This window comes from Homo sapiens, chromosome 9 (assembly GCF_000001405.40).
Source record: "Homo sapiens chromosome 9, GRCh38.p14 Primary Assembly".
NCBI lineage: Eukaryota > Metazoa > Chordata > Mammalia > Primates > Hominidae > Homo > Homo sapiens.
The window spans coordinates 68,556,656-68,576,416 of NC_000009.12; the positions used below are offsets into that span (position 1 = coordinate 68,556,656).

A 19,761-nucleotide genomic window follows, 5' to 3' on the forward strand; every position below is an offset into this window, starting at 1 on the left:
ATTGTTCAGGCTAACCTTGATTTATGGAGTGTGCACGTTTAATACAAAACACATTTTACATCGTAGATCCCCTTCAAAAAAGCTAGGGAGCCACAGGTACCTGTGACCTCATTTATTTGTATGACTCTCAAATCTCTATCTCTGCCTCTACTTCTATCTCTATCTGTATGTCTCCTATATCTATCTGTCAGTTCCAAGCTCATGTCTTCAACTATCTACTCAACATGTCCACTCAGAAAGCTCAGAGCAATTCAGAATCAAAGCCAGACTCACCATCATCCCCTTCAAGCCTGCCCCCATCCTCATGCCACTGCCCACTCCAAACCTCCTTCTCCTGTGTTTCTTGCATTAGGAAAGGACACTACCATCTACCCAAACTAATGAGACTGGAACCCTGGGAGTCATTCTTGGCCCTTCCCTCTCCTTCATATCCAACATTCTCTGTCTCCACATGCTGTTTATTTCACTCCCATTCACCTTTCCAAAAGGTAATTTTGAGATACCTTTTACCCCTCTCCACTACACGCTACCATCCTAATCTAAACCACTGTCATCCCACTTCTGGACAAGGACATTCGCTTCCTTAACTTGCCTCCCCATGTCATCTCTTCCTTCTTTCCAATTCTTTCTTCCCTCTGCAGACAGAGGACCTATTAGCCATGTCACTTCCCTATTTAAATATAAGGGGAAATTGCAAATCAATAACCTGTCATGGAACTGGACGTGGTGGCTCACGCCTGTAATCCCAGCACTTTGGGAGGCCTAGATGGGAGGATCGCTTGGGTCCAGGAGCTCAAGGCCAGCCTGGGTAATTGGCGAAACCCCAAAATTCAAAAATTAGCCAGGCATGGTGGCGCACCTAGTTTCAGCTTCTTGGGAGGCTGAGGTGGAAGGATCACTTGAGCCCAGGGGGCAGAGGTTACAGTGAGGTGAGATCGCGCCACTGCACTCCATCCCGGGCGATGGAGCCAGCTCCTGTCTCAAAAAATACATTTTAAAAAACCTGTCATGGAAGGCCCTTTGTAAAGATCCCTGACTGTCTCCCTTGCCTAGCCCTCACTGCTTCCTGTTTGGGGCTGCTCACAGCTTTTCTTACGTGCCACACTCTCTCATGGCTGTGACTTTGGAGGTGCTTCTCTTTCTAGGAAGTCTCTTCTCCCCTCATCTCTTCATGTATCCAACTCCCCCTTATTCACTGAAGTCTCAGAAGGCTGTTACCTCCTTAGGGAGGTCTTCCTTGGCTCCTGAATAAGATGAAGTCCTCCCAGAATAACACACAAAACAACTGTAAGTATTTATTTGTTCTACGGTCTTGATTCCATATGAAACTACAAGCCCCGTCGAGGCAAGCACTCTGTCTCCCCTCTTCACCTGGGTACTCACAGCTCCAAGCCCAGGATCTGGTACTCAGCAATGATGGCATAGTCATTATTTATTGAATAGACAGATGAAGGAAGCTGTGTCAAAGATACTTCTTAAATAATTATGGTGACCAATGCAATTTTATATCTTTAAAAGGATACCTGATTGTCTAAAAATGGACTGTTGCCATTTGAAACATTCTAGACCTATTTAGCAGTCCAAATGACTGTGAACTCCAGCTGAAGTTCACGTGTCGAGCAGAAGCATGTGTTCACTAGGGGTCTGATTTTACCACTCATCTGAGAGTAATGTCCTGGCAAATCCAATCTCTAAAGTGGTTCACCCTCAATCTGACTTCACTGTATCGCTGTTCATCAGAATACACATTTATAGATGTGACTTAGTGACACCTAGAATAGTGTGATCCATTCTCACACTTCTTTGTGTTATTTGTGTGTCTCTTCCACTCTTAGGCCAATGCCAAGTCTATAAACAGGCAGGAGATAACAAGGCTGCTGGTTTCTGATAATAGAGGCCTCACGTATTTTTCATATCCTTCAAATATTATTCCTCAATATGTCCCCAGGGCAAGATACTACAATAATCCCCTTGGCCTTGGCCTTGGCCTCTCTTTGAAGTTGAAAGTTAAAATGCATTTTCTCCAGTTGCTTTTAAGTAACATAGTTAAATATTACAGTGTGGTTGACCCCTGCCTCCCAACTGCTACCCTTTTGATGTGATTCTGGCTTGTGCTGACTGGCCTGCTGAGCACACAAGCATGGGTGAGCTGCGGAGGCAGGTACCAGGGAAAGGGACACGTTATACTTTAATAAAAAAGCAATTTCACTTTCCCGAAAGAGTTACCTTGGGACACGTGATGGAGGTTCATGTACTGCATCCTATAGAAATGACAAAGGCTAAACCTCAACCTGCATTCATCTTCTCTTCTACACCAACCAGTGCGGTAGACAATGGAAGTACAGACTCCTTCCTGCTGTAGCTGGTCCTCTTTCCTAGCTAGGCTGGGTAGGTGTCAGAAAGAGATGAAGTGTGGCCTCCCTGCCATGAGCTGAGACTCTGGAAGCATCTCTATCCCTTGTCACCTAGTGCTACTCAGCAGGAAGGGAGCATAGGCCATGTTGCTATTGTCCCATGCCAGAGACCAGACGCAGATGGAAAAGACACTCATCCCCTATGAGGCCATGGAGGGCCTCTGCTGGTGGAGCAAGTTCAAGCTGCATTCAAATAAAGTCCCTGGCAGTATTTCCCCTGCTGTCTTCATTTAGGCCTTTGGGTGCCAGAAAAGGCTGAGATGAGTTGCTGCGTCTTCTTGGCTTTGGGGGAATGACACTTGTTGAGGTTCATAGGAAAGCTCCGAGGAAGTCACTGTGCTCTTAATGACCACTCTGCTTCTAGGTACTGTTTGCTTCACCTCCATTTAATATACCTTGTAGACCCTCCCAGTCATTCTCCCTTGCTCTTCACTTTGCTTTTACTCTTTGACCCTCATTCCTTTCCTCCCTCTTTCCGGTTGAACATGTTTTGGTGAACTTGACAGCATTTGTATTTCTTTACTTATTTCATGTATAAGAGCAATGCTTTGTACATCAAACAAAGCAGCCTTGGCTTAGATTGGGTTCCTTGGAAACAGCCTCTGAGATAGAGAATTGCATGCAGAGTTGACTGGGGGTGCTTTAGGGAGCTGCACCAGTAAGGAAGTGAAGAAGGCAGAACTGGGTAAGGGGAGAAGCTGATCTACAAAGGGGCTGCCACCCAGAGGCCTTAACCAATCCTGCAGAGAGTTCTGGAGCTAGACGGTCCTCCAGAGGTGTACCAAATTGAAGCTAGGGGCCCAGCCTTTCCTTCCCTGCATCAGCCACCCATTGGCCACTGGCTCACCCTTGGGAAGGAATTTATTCTTGGACAAGGTAGTTGCCTTCCGTGGGGGGGAAGTTCTCAGTGAAAATGTGGAGCTCAGACTCAGGCCTTTGAGGAGGGGGAGCCCCCTGGCAGTGGCTGGTACTTTCAAAGTGGCACAATAAGGCTGGTTCTGAAAGTGTGAAGGAAAGCAGGAAACAGAAACCAGCTGTTGCTTCCAGGGAGAAAGTAAGTACCGGGGTCATGCTGGTGGGTCTGGCAACCACATACGAAGCTGTAAGTCCCTTCTCCCACAATCCTGCCACCCGATCTCTCTCTGGTGCCCCCTGTTGGCAGAATCTAACACGAAAGCCCCAGCGTTATGGAGCAGCAGGTAGGAGGGTAGACAGTCGCTTCACCACCAGCCTGTCTGCAATTCTGCATCCACGTGCCTGCATGGTAATAACTGGCAGGAGCTGCACATGAGCTGCCTTTTGAGAAAGGGTCACACGCCCTTGAGTTCACTAGGTCCCCACCCAGCTGCTGTCTTACTCATCAACCTTTCCAACCAGGCCCTTGTTTGTTACCCTTGCGGCGGGGGAGGGGGGCGAAAAAAAAAACTGCTTCCCTCAAAAGGATCCAAATCATTTTTTGAGAAGGGTTCCAGGAATCAGTATGAACACAGGAATTCATGCTCAAAACTTTCATCACAGCTAACATAACTTCATGATGTTTTTTCCTGCCAGAACTAACTGACTCTTCCTCCTGTCTTCTTGAGCAAGCCACAGGCACCCCACCCAGCCCCCTTGCTGAGGGAAGTTTGGGGGTTTGGCATTGTGTTGCACCACTCAGGGCTTGGTTTTTGACCTATCGCTCAGCCTCCCGCATTGTTTCCGCCCTCCTTCCCTTCCACTTTGGAGAGGCTGGGCTGCAGAGGCCAGGTCACTTTCCACAGCACACAGCTCAGCAAGCGCTGTCTCATGGAGTAAAAATTCCCTTGAGATAAACCAAAGCCCCAACTACAATTATTTTCTCTTTGTATGGATTTTTTTCTTGGAGTATGGCTGTAATCAGAGCTTGGCAAGAAAGTCATGTTCTTCTATTTTTTTAAGAAAGGCTACAAACATTTTAGCAAATTAATAGATAGCGCTGAAGCCAATAATAATTTTGTAAATTAAGATCCTGGGGCCAGGATCATGGAAATATGGATTATAGGTGTCTAATGTCTCCCAGAAGATGAACAGATTTCTTACATCAACAGCCCTAAAAGCATCTTTGCCTTGTCACTGTTGTCACTGCTGAATGTGTATTGTCACTCCCACCCACCTCTCCTCTGTTGGTCTTCTAGAACAAAATAAGTACAAGTGAGAGCCCAGATATAAAACACAGAGCTAAGATACCCAGCATACATTTTTGTCTGCCCCCACAAAGCGACCGTTAATCATAATGACTTACTGAGCACTTACTATGTGCCAGGCTACAGCTATATGTTATATCTGAACCTCTGAAGTTGTTTGCATTTTCAGATAGAAAACAGAGGTGAGGTTCAGGGCAGTTAGATGACACAGAACAAAGAAAGGACAAAAACAGATTCGGAAACCTCTCATTCATTATGATTATGTTAAGGAGAAAGTCTTACTCTGGTATTAATATATATTTTCATTTTATTTTGTTTCTTTGTTTTGTATTTATATTTTGGATTTGATATTTTTAACACCCCTACAACACTAGCCCTTCTCCACTGCCTCCCTTCCTCCCTTCCTCTTAACAAAAAGAGAGCCAAGCTATAATTTTTTTTTTTTTTTTTTTTTGAGACAGGTTCTCTTTCTGCAGCCCAGGCTGCAGGACAGTGGCAGGATCACAGCTCACCTCAGACTCAACCTCCTGGGCTCAAGTGATCCTCCTGCCTCAGCCTCCTGGGTAGCTGGGACTATAGGCATGTGCTACCACATCTGTCTACTTTTTAATTTTTTGTTGAGATGGGGTCTCACTAGGTTACCCAGGCTGATCTCAAACTCCTCAGCTCAAGCAATCCTCCTGCCTCAGCCTCCCAAAGTGTTGAGATTACCAGCTTGAGCCACCATGCCCAGCCTCGAGCTAGAATTTATATCATTGTTTTTCATTAGTTGTATCCATTTCATAGTTACCTCCTATTTATGACCAGTGATACTGATTTTCCTTTTACAGTAGAGACATGACATTCCATTTTAAAATAAACTTAAGTTAAAAAAACCAAGTCAGCTGGGCGCAGTGGCTAATGCCTGTAATCCCAGCACTTTGGGAAGCCAAGGTGGCTGGATCACTTGAGCTCAAGAGTTCGAGACCAGCCTGGGCAACATGGCAAAACCCCATCTCCACAAAAAAATACAAAAATTAGCCGGGTGTGGCGGCGCACAGCTGCCATCACAGCTACTTGGGAGGCGGAAGTGGGAGAATCACCTGAGCCCGGGAGGTCAAGGCTGCAGTGAGCTACGATTGCACCACTACCTTCCAGCCTGGAAGACAGAGTGAGACCCCGTCAAAAACAAAAAACAAACCAAACAAACAAAAACGGAGTCAAGTTCTAAAATAATAAATAAGTACCTAATAGCCAAAGTGGTACTTGACTGGGCAAATAATGTGAAAGTATGACCTTGCATAACGTTTCTGAACATCTCTGTGCCTCAGTTTCCCCAGGATAAGAATGGTACCTACCTCACAAGGTGGTTGTGAGGATTACCCATCTTGACCTATCCCGAAGGCATAAAGCAGTACCTAGGACACAGTCAGCACTACATGAGTGCTAACTGGTGTTGTTCTTATGCAAATGCATGAATTCAGTTCTTGTGTGCCTCTGGGAAAGACCAGCTGGTAAAAGCAAAGACAACCAGGGCATCAGACTTCTAAATGTAGATACATTGGTAGAGGCTATGCCTAGCTTCATACTGCTCTGTAAAACTGCAGAGTTTAAGGGGAAATTTTACTGTGATGTATAGTCATTAACATGCAGTCTTTCTTTTTTAGTAATCAATTGTGTTTGTTACTATAAGAAACTTAAAATCTTTGAAGTACTCTATTTCTAACAAGCTTCCCTGCCACCTCCTCCCCACGTGTCTACAGGAAATTGAGAACAGTACGCAAATTGCAGAGATTGCTTCAATAATTCATTTACTAGATACAAAGCTTAAATTTTAAAAGTCCTGGGACTTTTAGATCATGCATTTTACTCACAGGGATTATAATTATGATGAGATAAAACTTTGATGGTATCTTCTAAAACACACAAATTTCTGGAAATGCAATGTGGAATCAATGTGTCAAAGAAAAGCTTTAAAAGAGTTTGTGGAGCTTATTTTTGTGTTATCATGGGGTTTTCATAAGAATAAACTTTAAACAACCCAACATTCCAACCCAATTTTGGAAGGAGAAACTTGGTATGCGGTGTTGGTCATCAGAGACTGAAACGCAACTTCCCTGGGGTCTCAGGTGTGAGATATTTGGTGGACAAAGCATTACTAAGTCCCTGGTATACGAAGCAAATCAGCATTCTCCCTGATATTTAAGGTACAAAGGTACCAAAAGGGCATGGAAGAGAAAGTATACAAGCCTGCTAGGTCTGGATTGTTTATTTAGGGAACAATGGAAACAGTGGGATTGTTGAGGATTATGTAGTCTCCTGTCCGGCAGCAGCAGCATCAGCTGGGAATTTGTTTAAAAGGCAAATTCTCAGGTTCCACTGAATCTAGAGCCACTGAATCACAAACTGCGAGTTGGGCCAGGCACAGTGGGCTCATGCCTGTAATCCCAGCACGTTGGGAGGCCGAAGCGGGCACACCACCTGAGGTCGGGAGTTCAAGACCAGCCTGGCCAACATGGCAAAACCCCATCTCTACTAAAAATGCAAAAAATTAGCTGGGCATGGTGGCATGCACCTGTAGTCCCAGCTACTTGGGAGGCTGAGGCACAAGAATCGCTTGAACCCGGAAGGCAGAGGTTGCAGTGAGCCTAGATTGCACCACTGCACTCCAGCCTGGGCGAGAGACCAAGACTCCATCTAAAAAAAAAAAAAAAAAAAAAAAAAAAAAAAAAAACCCAAAAAAATGGTCTGGGAGTTGGTCCCAGCCATCTGTATGTTAGCAAGCCTTCCAGGGCATTCTGTAATGTTGTAGAACCACTAGTTTAGGGGAAAGACATAGCATCTGTCTAAAAGTAATTTTCATAAGGTGCCCGTAGACACAAGTAAATGTAGAATGATCATTAGCTCCTTTTTTCATCTTCCCTTTGCATCCTGAGGAACATAAACACAATAGCCTTCTAGGTCAAAGAAGGACAATTTTGCCCTACTGACTCCAAGTTCTCCTTTTTTTTTTGAAACAGAGTCTCACTCTGTCACCCAGGCTGGAGTGCAGTGGCGCAATCTTGGCTCACTGCAACTGCCGCCTCCTGGGTTCAAGCAATTCTCATGCCTCAGCCTCCTGAGTAGCTGGGATTACAGGCATGTGCCACCATGCCTGGCTAATGTTTTTTGTATTTTTAGTAGAGACGGGGTTTCACCATGTTGGCCAGGCTGGTCTTGAACTCTTGGCCTCCGGTAATCCACCTGCCTCGGCCTCCCAAAGTGCTGGGATTACAGGTGTGAGCCACTGTGACCGGCTGACTCCAAGTTCTTTAGGGCAACCAGGGCTTTTCTGGTGGCCAAGGCTTGACTCACAGAGAGCAAAGAATAAGAAACATTCTGATTCTTATTTTAGCAACTCAAGACATAGCAACCCAAGATGTGGAATCTGATGCAGATGGGTGCCCTCTGAAAAGATGAGTCATTCTATCATGGTCCATGACACATAACCTGGACAATTCAGAATGGGAAAGGGGTGCAGCTGGAACACAAGCGAGGAGAGAGAGAGGAGAGAGGGTAGTGGTAAGGGGGTCACTTGCTTCGGTGAGGCTATTTGTCAGGAAGCCAGGCTGGGTGCCTAATCAGTGTGGCCGTATTCTCTCTCTTCATGGCTCTGCAACCTGTTCATTGGATGAACCTGGCTTTGTTCCTTCCCACCTCTGGGTATTAATATATTAAGAAAACAAATTACAGCCCAATCCCACAAAGGCTAGGGAACCTGCCTTTCTTCTTCTTCATTGTGTCCCCAGAGCCTAGCAGATTGCCTGCTACGTAGTTGATAAATATTTGAAAAAAATCAGTGAGGCTGGAGGTAGAGTTTGTTCTCAAGGTGAGAGGTAGGGCAGGATTTCCTCCCTTAAGTAACCAGGCAGGAAAAGAACAGAGTGTCACTTGTTATAGGGTACCATGGTCAAACCAAGGAAATCAGGATTAATTTGAAAGTCCAAAAGGAAGTAGCACAGATGAAAACTGGATATAGTCAGAGGTCAGGACTTGGGCAGACCTGAACTTAAATGGGATCAAAGAAAGGAAATGAGGTAAGGATAGCCCTGCTGTCCACAAATTGCCCCATGCATAAGTAGATTAGGTTGGTGTAAAGCTATGTTAACTAATATTCAACAAATATTTATTCAGTCCCTATTATGTGACAGGTACTACTCTAAGAGGCACTCGCAATTCTGCAGTAAACGAAACAAACAAAAATCTCTACAGCCACGAAGTAGAGAGCACTGACCCCAAAAGGAATAATAATAATAGCCATTTGATGATTTAATAATCGTAATAAATAATTGCTTACCAGGTGCCAGGCATTGTCATCGTTATCATACATAGACCACCCAATCAGTTGATGTGGAAGTAAGTTCTATGCTTATGCTAACTTTCACTTTTCCAAAGGACTTTCTTCTTCAGACCATCACCTCTGGGTGCAGAAACGACAGGAGGAAGTAAAGTCTGAACTTACGACCTGGGATATTACATTTCAGTTTGGTTCTGGCCAGGCACCATGGCTCACACCTGTAATCCCAGCACTTTGGGAGGCTGAGGCAGGCAGATGACAAGGTCAGGAGTTCGAGACCAGGAGTTCTGGCCAATATGGTAAAACCCCATCTCTACTAAAAATACAATAATTAGCCGGGCGTGGTAGCAGGCACCTGTAGTCCCAGCTACTTGAGAGGCCGAGACAGGCGAATCGCTTGAACCCGGGGGGCGGAGCTTGCAGTGAGCCGAGATCACGCCACTGCACTCTAGCCTGGGCAACAGAGCGAGACTCCGTCTCAAAAAAAAAAAAAAATTGGTTCTAACAAGTAGGCAAGTCGCCTCATGACTTATATTACTGGTTACTGAAAGATTGAGTAACAAGATTGCAGTTAATGAAATAATATGAGGCTTTTGATGGGTGTTTATATGAATAGTAGGTAAAGAAAATGGTTTTAAGAGAATGAGCATCAAAAGTCTTTCTCTAAAATCCTTTGTGGCATGTTGTCAGAGGAACATTAATAATGAACTATTCTAGACATCCTCTCGACAATGCTTTCACAAAAACATAATATCACTCAACTGACATGGGTTTAGTTAAAAATTCCAGCCAGATGATGATTATTAAAAAAGAAAATCCTTACCAGTTAGACATGCATGTAGACCCTTGAGTGTGTTTTTAAAAAGATAGATACATGGAAACATTAGATATATAAAGATGTATATTCCAGCCAGAAGTGCCTGTAAGACAACAGTACTCCTAAACATAAAGTAAGTTATTTAGAAATTTTCAGATTTGACAAGGGGTTTTATTGTTTGCCTCATATACTTTATACACATAGAACTTGCTGTGTTAAAAAGCCCTAATTCACTAACTTCATTTGTGTATTATTCAATGCCTTTCCATGTATTAATATTTCTGGGGCTGTCCCTGGTGAATGATTGTGTATGGAAGAGAATAAATTATTTGGTTAAGACCCCAGCCTCGGGAGGCAAGTTGCCAATGCTTAATTACTGGCTCCGTCACTTACTGGCTGTCTGATATTGAGCAGGTTATTTAACTTCTCCATGCCTCATTTTCCCCATCTGTAAAAGGGGGTACTAATAATGTGTCATAGGGTGGTTAACAGGTTTGAATATGCTTATAAAATGCCTGGAAAAGTCTCTGGTACATCGTAAGTGCTGTGTGAGGTGCTGATGTTTTTCTGCTTCTGCAGGTGTGCCCTTGCTGTCCTTTGCCTCCTCAGCTGGGCTAACACTGCTGCTCTTCCCTTCTGAAGCTCACCATCTTCCATCCTCAGATCCCCTCTTTCACAGTGCTGCTGACATCTCTTCCACCCAACCTCACCTCCCATAATTCCCCACACCTCAGAAGAGCCAAGCTCTGCCATTGCACGTGGAGGTAGAAACTAGAGAGATAGCACCAAAAAATAACTTTCCTCCTTGACATAGGCCCACATCCATTTTAGGGTGGGTTCCTGAGCTGGCTCATGACATGGTCCTGGCATCTTCCCTGTAACCAGAGTCAGTTCTGCCCAACCACCCACTCCAGGCCTCCCCACGCCTCAGACCCTAACTCCAGGAAAAAGGACCATGTTGTCCCCTCACCCTAGGCTAAGGCCCACCACAGTTCATTTCTTGCCTTTGGATTGACCTCTTCCTAGGATGGCTGGGAATAAGAGCTTCCCTTCCCTTAAGGACAAGCCCCACTCCACCCACAGGGCTGTGGGACAGATCTGAGGCTCAACAAGATGATCCCATTAGAGTCCAATTTAGGGATTGCTGGGAAGTGCAGTCATCACTGCCAGTGGGGTCCCACCAAACACACTGTGCTCAATTCAGATCCTACTCAGCCAGCTTCTCTTTGTCAAGGTTTTCACAAATCCTGGGGTCGAGTCTCACCCAGGGTCACCTTGAGCCAGTGGAGTCTGGGATTCTGAGAGGCCCAGGTGGTGATCTAGGGTTCAGTTTCCTGCTCTGTCAAGGACTATTTTAGCTATGTTACACTTTAAGAAGAATTTGTGGGTCCCTCTGGGAACTTAACTCTATTTATAACATTGTTTCTATGGGAAAGAGTGTTCCAAGTGACAATCAATTTAAAACGGAATGCTTAGTACACAGCCTTTTCATCGCTGGGGGACTGCTGGTAATTTTTTCTTCACATGTAGAGATTATATTGAAGTTTCAAAACAAATCTAGTATAAACAAGTAGAGCAAAGAAAAAGCAGGTGTTGCTTCTTGTATTTTTTAGGAGACATTTTAAAAGTTGAAGTTTTTTAAGAAAAAAAGTTTATTTCACAGGGTAACATTTATTGAGCATTTACTGTTTACCAGCTACTAAATTAAAGACAGAGTCTGTGTAATCTCATTTAATCCTCACAGCAAAGCTCTATGGAGGTGTGATAAAGAATCACCGGCATTTTTGATGTTTAGCCAATGAAAGCTTTCAAACTCCACCAAACCCTCCCACTTCTGCCCCACATCTGGGCAAGCTGATGAAAGAGCACAGGTGCGCCCTCCTGTGGTGCTGGTGGGACATCCCATCCATGTAAACCCAGCTGCAAGAGCGAAGCTTCGCCCAGCCCCACTCTCCCACCTCCACAAAACCCCAAGGCCAGCCTCCGTTTCCCACTCCCTTAAACCATTCTTGGACCTCTTGGAAGCTCACTTTACTTCCCCCCGAAAGCCTTACTGTGTGAAATATAAAGCTTTTCACACCTTGTGTGTGTGTGTGTGTGTGTGTGTGTGTGTGTGTGTGTGATCATTAGTCCCAACATCCAAGCCAAATCTTCGGTGAGGGGTCCATCTTCTCTCCATGAGGTGACTATAGTAGGTGAGTATAGTAGTCTCTGTTTTACAGATGAGGAAACTGAGGCTCAGAGAGATTAAGTTGCTTGTCAACTAGATAACAGTATCATCTTAACCACTCTGCTCTTTCTTTACTTCAGCTCAGATGCGTCTTGCCTTTTGAAAATCAGTGAAGGAACTTACATTGAGGGATTTTACCTCTTGCTAATACTCAACACCTACTGATTACCTACCCTGAGCTAAGCTTTTTTCATGAATGAACTCATGTTATTCTTTTTTTTTTCTTTGAGACAGAGTCTTGCTCTTGTTTCCCAGGCTGGAGTGCAATGGCGCCATCTCGGCTCACTGCACCCTCTGCCTCCCAGTTCAAGCGATTCTCCGGCCTCAGCCTCCCAAGTAGCTGGGATGACAGGCATGCACCACCGTGCCCAGCTAATTTTATATTTTTAGTAGAGACGGGGTTTCACCATGTTGGTCAGGTTGGTCTCAAACTCCTGACCTCGGGTGATCTGCCCACCTCAGCCTCCCAAAGTGCTGGGATTACAGGCATGAGCCACCATGCCCAGTTAACTTATGTTATTCTTTTAATAACTCTATGAACTAAATACCATTGTCAGTCCCATTTTTATAGATGAGGAAACCAAGAAACAGCAAAGTTCAACAACTAATACAGGGTCACCCTGCTAATAAATAGCGGAACCGGGATTTAAACACAGACAGTCTGCTCAGAACATGTTCTCTTGGCCATAGGGCTATAATACTTCTTACATAGTCCACAAGTAAAGCTGATAATTCACCCAGTTTTTAAGGATTGTGGTTTGGCCACTGCTTAATTGGACAGCAGTTGTTTAAAGAAAGAAATCCTATATTAATGACACATTTACTGGTTTCATTATATCTTGTATAGTGTTCTTATGTTATTCATATGTAGTTTACTCAATACAGCAAATGTCTATAAAGAAAAGGCAATGCTTCAGTTTCTTTGATATCTTCTTCCCCACCCGACCCCCAATAACTAGGACATTGCTTTTTAGGCAATGGGAACCCAACAAATGTCATCTGAATGGCTTAAAATCAGTAGGTGTTGCAGAATGAAACCCCACAATTTCACCTTTGCCCTAGATACTACACTACACATCATTACAAATAGGCCAGGGCTCTCCAACAATTGCCATGGAAACTGTGTAGAATTCCTGTTCGCTGTCTCATGCCATCTGTTTGACTAAAGGTATAACAAGGAAAATAATAATCTGTAATTTCTCATAGCAAAGTTCCCCAAATTCACAAAGACAAGAGTATTTTTTTAACCATCTGCTTTCCCTTCAGGCTTTTCAGCAACTTCTGTGTAGCTAATACATAAAATTGTGTAACATTTATGAGGGCTGGTTCACCATATATGGTTTCTAGCTCTGAAAACTCAGTTATGTGGAAGCTAGAATTAAACAACATCAAAAACCAAAAACAAACAAAAAAAAACCATGATAACTCAAATGGAATCTGCATGATGAGTTACAGGACTGACAGTGGAAACAAAAGTTAAAAGTAGTCTCTTATTTCTGTCTGGGTACCAAAGGCAAAGCTTGCTGCTTTTCAGTTTGGCCCTGATTGTGTCTCTGTCAAATGCCTTGGGCAAATAGATTTAAAATTTGCCCACGAACAAAGTTAGCTTAATAATGGCTTCCATGCAGAGCTGTCAGAAGATAAAAGAGCTCTATAAAGGATTCTGAGGAATAAAACTTTATGGAACTTAGTGCCATATATGACAATTCCTTTGAGGAAATACATCAAAGGTAGAGATGAAGTGTTTGAGCTGGAAGGCACTTCATTCAGTTCAGTGGTTTTGAATCCGTGCTCCATGGAGCCCCTGGGTTTCCTCCAATTTCCCTCTGCAGCTGCCAGAGGTAAGAAGTTAGTAGAGTGAATGTCTGGAGTCACCAGCCCAACTTCCACTGAGCACCCTTGTGTGTATTTGATTTTCTTTTGAATATTCTCATAAAATTTATTTTAACAAAGGACTCTGTATTAGTCTCTTCTCATGTTGCTGATAAAGACATACCTGAGATTGGGTAATTTATAAAGAAAAAGAGGTTTAATGGACTCACAGTTCCATGTGGCTGGGGAGGCCTCACAGTCATGGTGGAAGGCGAAGAGGAGAAAAGTCACGTCTTACATGGTGGCAGGCAAGAGAGAGAATGAAAGCCAAGCGAAAGGGGAAACCTTTTATAAAATCATCAGATCTTGTGAGACTTATTCACTATCACAAGAACAGTATGAAGGAAACTGTCCCCATGATTCAGTTATCTCCCACCGGGTCCTTCCCACAACATGTGGGAATTAATGGGAGCTACAATTCAAGATGAGATTTGGGTGGGGACACAGAGCCAAACCGTATCAGACTTCGTGGCTTAACAATACTTTGATAAGATTCTGAGCTAATCCAACTCCCTCATTTTGTAGACGAAGAGATTCAGTGATTTGCTAAGGCCTCAGAGATACTCAGAGATGTGGCTGGGACTAGACAGGTGGTCTGGCTTCCCAATCTGCTATTCTCTCAGTGGTCTTTAGGCTGGAAATAAATTGCTACTGCACACCTGCAACTCAGGGACACAGTGCTGAACAATTTCTTCAAGAGACAGAATTCTGAACTTCTTCCCAGTCCTTGGAACATCATTCTCCTGTCTCTTAACTTCTTGCTTCTCTGATTATATTTTTATCTAGCCAATTGGATTTTCTGCCTAGCATGACTTTTCCAACAACAACCTGTTTGCTCCCCAGGTAGATAACTGATAAATGTTTATATCCTAAAAATCTCCAGTGCAATATGTCCTTGGAGGGAAAACACCCTCTGAGGCATATCAGTAAGGTACTGGATCTTGATGTCCCCAAGAAATGGTACTACGAAAGTTGCCCACTTCAAAGAAGATGTGATTTTTATTTATAGAGTGGAAAAATCATGAATGGGTCTCTTTGACAAAAGTTAAATAACGAGAATTATTGTATTATTAGTAATAACTTTTCATCAAGGTCCCCCGGAGAAAATAGTAATAATAGTAACAACAATAATAAAGGTGAAAAGTCCATGTTGCCTTTGTTAAATAGAAGCATCTCTGATCACAGCATTGGAACTGGAACTGGAAAGGACCATGCAGACCAGTTCTCCTTCAAAAGAATTCATAATTTCCAGTAGGAACCATTGTCATCATCCTCAATACTGCTACCATTTCTTGAGCACTTGCTATGGACCAGCCAACTGTGTTAAGTAAGCTCTTTACAAGCACTGTCATTTAATCTCTGTAACCATTCCAAGCGTTATTATTCTCCCCTTTCTACAGATATGAAAACTGAGGTTCAGAAAGTTTAAATCAGGGTCATGGCCTTGTACAACTACAGGGAACATTATTTACTTTGTTTTCTATGTAAATGGAACCTTCTGGAGCACAATGCAGCAGCCTTGGTTTAAGTGACTCCCAATTTCCCAGAACTGGTAAATGACAAATTCAGGAATCACCTCCAGGCCTGTCTGAAGCCAAAAGCCCCGTTCTGATCACTACACAAGCCCCTGCTTCAGAAATCCATATGTGTGCTCGCACTCTGGAGTCTTATATTGATGATGATGAGTTAAGAAGAAATTCAGTTGGCTGTTGTATTAGTCCGTTCTCATGCTGCTATAAAGACATACCTAAGACTGGATACTTAAAAAAAAAAAAGCGGTTTAATCAGCTAATAGGTTCTGCGGGCTGTACAGGCTTCTGCTTCTGCGGAAGCCTCAGGAAACTTACAATCATGTCAGAAGGTAAAGAGGAAGCAAGCACATCTTCACATGGCCAGCAGAAGAGAGAGAGAGAGAGAAGTGGGGGGGCCAGTGCTACACACTTTCAAACAACCAGATATGCTGAGAACTCTATCACAAGAGCAGCAGTGGGGAAGTCCGCCCCCATGATTCAATCACTTCCCTCCAGGCCCCTCCTCCAACACTGGGAATTACAATTTGACATGAGACTTGGGTGGGGACGCAAAGCCAAACCATGTTAGCTGTTAAGTGGTGAGCATGACTTGAACTCAAGACAAATGCCCAAGAAGACTTTATTCGAACTGGTTTTCTATTTGTTTAGACACCAAGTGTTAGCTTCATAAGGTATAATTTTTTTAAACTGTATTTTGAAATAATTTCAAACTTAGAGAAAATTCACACCAATAGTAAGGAGCTCCCAAATACCTGTTACCCAAATCCACCAATTATTAACATTTTGCTGCCTTTGCTTTCTCTCTCTCTTTCTCTCTTTCTGTGGTGTGTGTGTGTCTGTGTGTGCATGCATATGTGTGTGTGTGTGTGTGTGTGTGTGTGTGTTTGCGTATTTGGGAATTACATCCTGAATATATACATATATACACATACGGAATTTTTAGTGATCCTTGAGGTGTGCTCCCTATGAACCAGCATTGCCTTGGTACTTGTTAGAAATGCAGATTACTCAGTCCCACCTCAGATGCACTGAATCAGAAACTTTAGGGGGTGGCATCCAGCAATCTGTGTTTTAACAGTCCTCCAGGCGATTCTGAAGCTCACCTATTTGAGAACCATTGTCCTATTAAAGAATACTTCGGAGAAGATTGTTCTGAGCAATAGGACAATACTATTATTTTAATATTTAATATTTTACATTAATGCCATTTTCTCATAAAAGGAGAGAAGTTGGGAAAAGCTGGGAAGTGTACCTTAGTTTTTCTGGGGGGTTGAGCATGACATAAAAGAATCATTCTTAGATTTTTCACCATGCCTGAACTAATTCATATAAAGAGACTCTATAGGCTAAGCTAAGTTTTAGGACTTAGTGTTCTAATTAAAGATTTAAATATGACTTTCCAAATTATTGCCTGGAATGGATTCATTTCTGTGAGCCTAATCCCTTTGCAAGTGTCTAAAGCTTGCTCTCACATTCACACAAAAAACTTACAGAAATACAAATACAGTCATTATAGAGAAGCTTACTGATTATGTAAACAGTCATGTCCACCAAAATTGTTTAATATAATTTTCAGAGGGTGAGAGCCTGAATATATCCTTTCTAGAAAGCTGCTTAACAAGGTTGTCAAACATTGAGGTAACTGACAAAATCATCAACCACGTAAAATTTCATTAGTCTTTACAATTACAAAATCAAATTTCTCCCTTTAAATAAATGCTTTGGGGTTTTATAACATGCAAAGTGAAGACTCCCAGCTTCAAAGTGTGCCTGTGTGTATTCTCAAGTGTAGCCTGTGTCCCACAATAGTGGACATAGTTACCAATAATTATTTCTTTCTGTAACCTGAGTCAGTTGACAGCCATATAAAATGGGCTGATCATAACTGTGTCTAGAGGGAAGGGGATACATTTCTAAAAGAACACTGAACAATATTTCTCTGGGATTTTAAAGTCTGGGTAACTCTCTATGAAGTAGTGTCTTGGGGGAGATTTCTTCTTAGTTAACATGACAATTAAGTCAAATTACAATAAACAAATATTCAAAGTCTAGATGCTTCATTTATTTAAGTCAATTTTAAAAAATATAAGAAGAAGAGAAGCAACTGGGAGGAGGGCAGTCTCTTGAAATCTTTTGAAATGAAGCTAACTTGTATTTAGAATTGTGTGGGGAAGAGAGAAGGAGGTTTAGTATTCATTTCCTGGGGCTTATAAGCTGTGGAATAGTGACAGTATGTTTATTCTAAAACATCAAAGATCCCTGTCTCACAACATCTCAGACAACAAAGATGGGAAAACAAATGAACCAAGGACACATCCTAATATATTCTGCGATGTTTACTCCCCCTACAGGCAAATCAATCTTTTGAAAACTGTCTTTAATAATATCCTTGTAATTTTTACACTGTTTCTTTCTTCCAGCAGCCCTAGCCATTATTTATAAGTCTTCTAACTTCTGTCTCGTACTACTCTCTATCCCATGTAGCTCTCTCTCTTTAGCATTTATTTTTATATTTGTCAACTCCTTTCTCCTCTCTCCCAACTGTAAACGCCAAATCCAGCATTGGAAGGAATGCTCTACATCAAATCACATTTCTGATAAATGAACAGTGAAAATTTAACAATACGACTTTTATGACAATGTGATGGCAAGTGCCCTGAACTTGGGTGTCCAGAAACCTGAACTCGAGTTTGGGTTTGGCTACTAATTAGTTTGTAACCTTGGGTTCGTTGTCCTTGTCTATAAAATAACATGGTTGAAGGAAAATGAACTAGAAAATACCCTTGACCAACTCAACTTCTATATCTTTTCACATTATATTTAATATCTCAAGTGCTGCAAATCTAAGTTCTTTTTTTTTTCTTTTTTTTTTTGAGAAGGAGTTTCACTCTTGTTGCCCAGGCTGGAGTACATTGGCACAATCTCAGCTCACTGCAACCTCTGCCTCCCAGGTTCAAGCGATTCTCCTGCCTCAGCCTCCTGAGTAGCTGGGATTACAGGTGCAGGCCACTACACCTGGCTAATTTCTTTTTTTGGTTTTGGTTTTTTGTTTGTTTGTTTGTTTGTTTGTTTTTTGGCATTTTTAGTAGAGATGAGGTTTCACCATGTTGGCCAGGCTGGTCTCAAACTCCTGACCTCACATGATCCACCCACCTCAGCCTCCCAAGGTGCTGGGATTACAGGCATGAGCCACCGTGCCTGGCCTTGCAAATGTTAAGTTCTAAAAAATTAAATGAATAAGAGTTGAAAAGGAAATCAACATTGTTAAAGCAAAATATACCAGAAACAGTGTTGAGTTGATGTCCCTGGATCATCTTATGTGTATAATCTTTACAACAACTGTGCAAGATGATTGGTTTTACCTCCATTTGTATACATAGAATTTCACAGGGGGGTAAATAATTTCCCAAGATTGCATGGTTCAAAATGGCAAATCTGTCATTTGAATGACTTGGGTTTTCGATCAAAGAGTTTCGAGTCTATAGTTACAATTTACTCACTAATTGGACTTCCACAAATTGCCCTGGGTGAGTTTGTCTGTAAGTATATGTGTTTATACACATGTAATACTTAGTTTGGAAAGTAGGATCAAGTGTTTTTAGATAGTGAGGAAATTAACGCAGAAGACAAGTAACTTGGTTAAGTATTAATTTTCTGGTAGTAGAATCAAGAATGAAAGGATTTTTAATTTTTATGGGTTCATAGCAGGTGTATATGTTTATGGGGTATGAAATACTTGGACACCGGCATGCAATGCATACTCACATCATGGAAAATGAGATACTCATCCACTCAAGCGTTTATCCTCTGTGTTGCAAACAATCCAATGATTCTCTCTCAGTTATTTTAAAATGTACAATTAAACTATTTTGACTATAAAATACTAGGTATTATTCATTCTTTCACACTATTTTTTGTACCCGTTGTGCTATAAAATACTAGGTATTATTCATTCTCTCAAACTACTTTGTGTAACCATTAACCATTACCACCTCCTCCTGACCCCACACTACCAGGAAGGACAGGATTTTTCATAAGGCGATTTTGGAGTTTCAGAAGTCAGAGTTCACAGTAGGTATTGGAGAAGCTACACAGCCATAAACAGTCTTCTAAGGAAAATGGCAAAATGCATACTCTGAATTAAGCTTTAAAAAAATCAGATAGGGCCAGGCACAGTGGCTCGTGCCTGTAATCCTAGCGCTTTGGGAGGCCGAGGCAGGCAGATCACTTGAAGTAAGGAGTTCAAAACTACCCTGGCCAACATGGTGAAACCCCATCTGTACTAAAAATATTTTTTAAAAAATTAGCCAGGTGTGGTGGCAGGTGCCTGTAATCCCAGCTACTTGGGAGGCTGAGGCAGGAGAATTGCTTGAACCTGGGAGGCAGAGGTTGCAGTGAGCCAAGATCATGCCACTGCAC

The 19,761-nt window shown here is 42.6% G+C and overlaps 1 long non-coding RNA gene across 1 annotated transcript in view, besides 2 other annotated features; it reads left to right on the plus strand.

Annotated features, from left to right (window-relative positions):
• TMEM252-DT (TMEM252 divergent transcript) overlaps positions 1–19,761 on the plus strand; it is a 103,426-nt gene that overhangs the window by 15,631 nt on the left and 68,034 nt on the right. The gene's annotated exons all lie outside the window — the stretch shown is intronic.
• Positions 3,243–3,352: an enhancer, noted in NCBI's record as "active region_28436". NCBI's record gives its function as "activates an Ori minimal core promoter by ATAC-STARR-seq in GM12878 lymphoblastoid cells {active_cell/tissue: GM12878}" and the evidence as "EXISTENCE:reporter gene assay evidence [ECO:0000049][PMID:35858748]".
• Positions 5,751–6,285: an enhancer, noted in NCBI's record as "OCT4-NANOG hESC enhancer chr9:71177322-71177856 (GRCh37/hg19 assembly coordinates)". NCBI's record gives its function as "activates a minimal SCP1, AML or CMV promoter by ChIP-STARR-seq in naive H9 embryonic stem cells {active_cell/tissue: H9 hESC(naive)}" and the evidence as "EXISTENCE:reporter gene assay evidence [ECO:0000049][PMID:30033119]".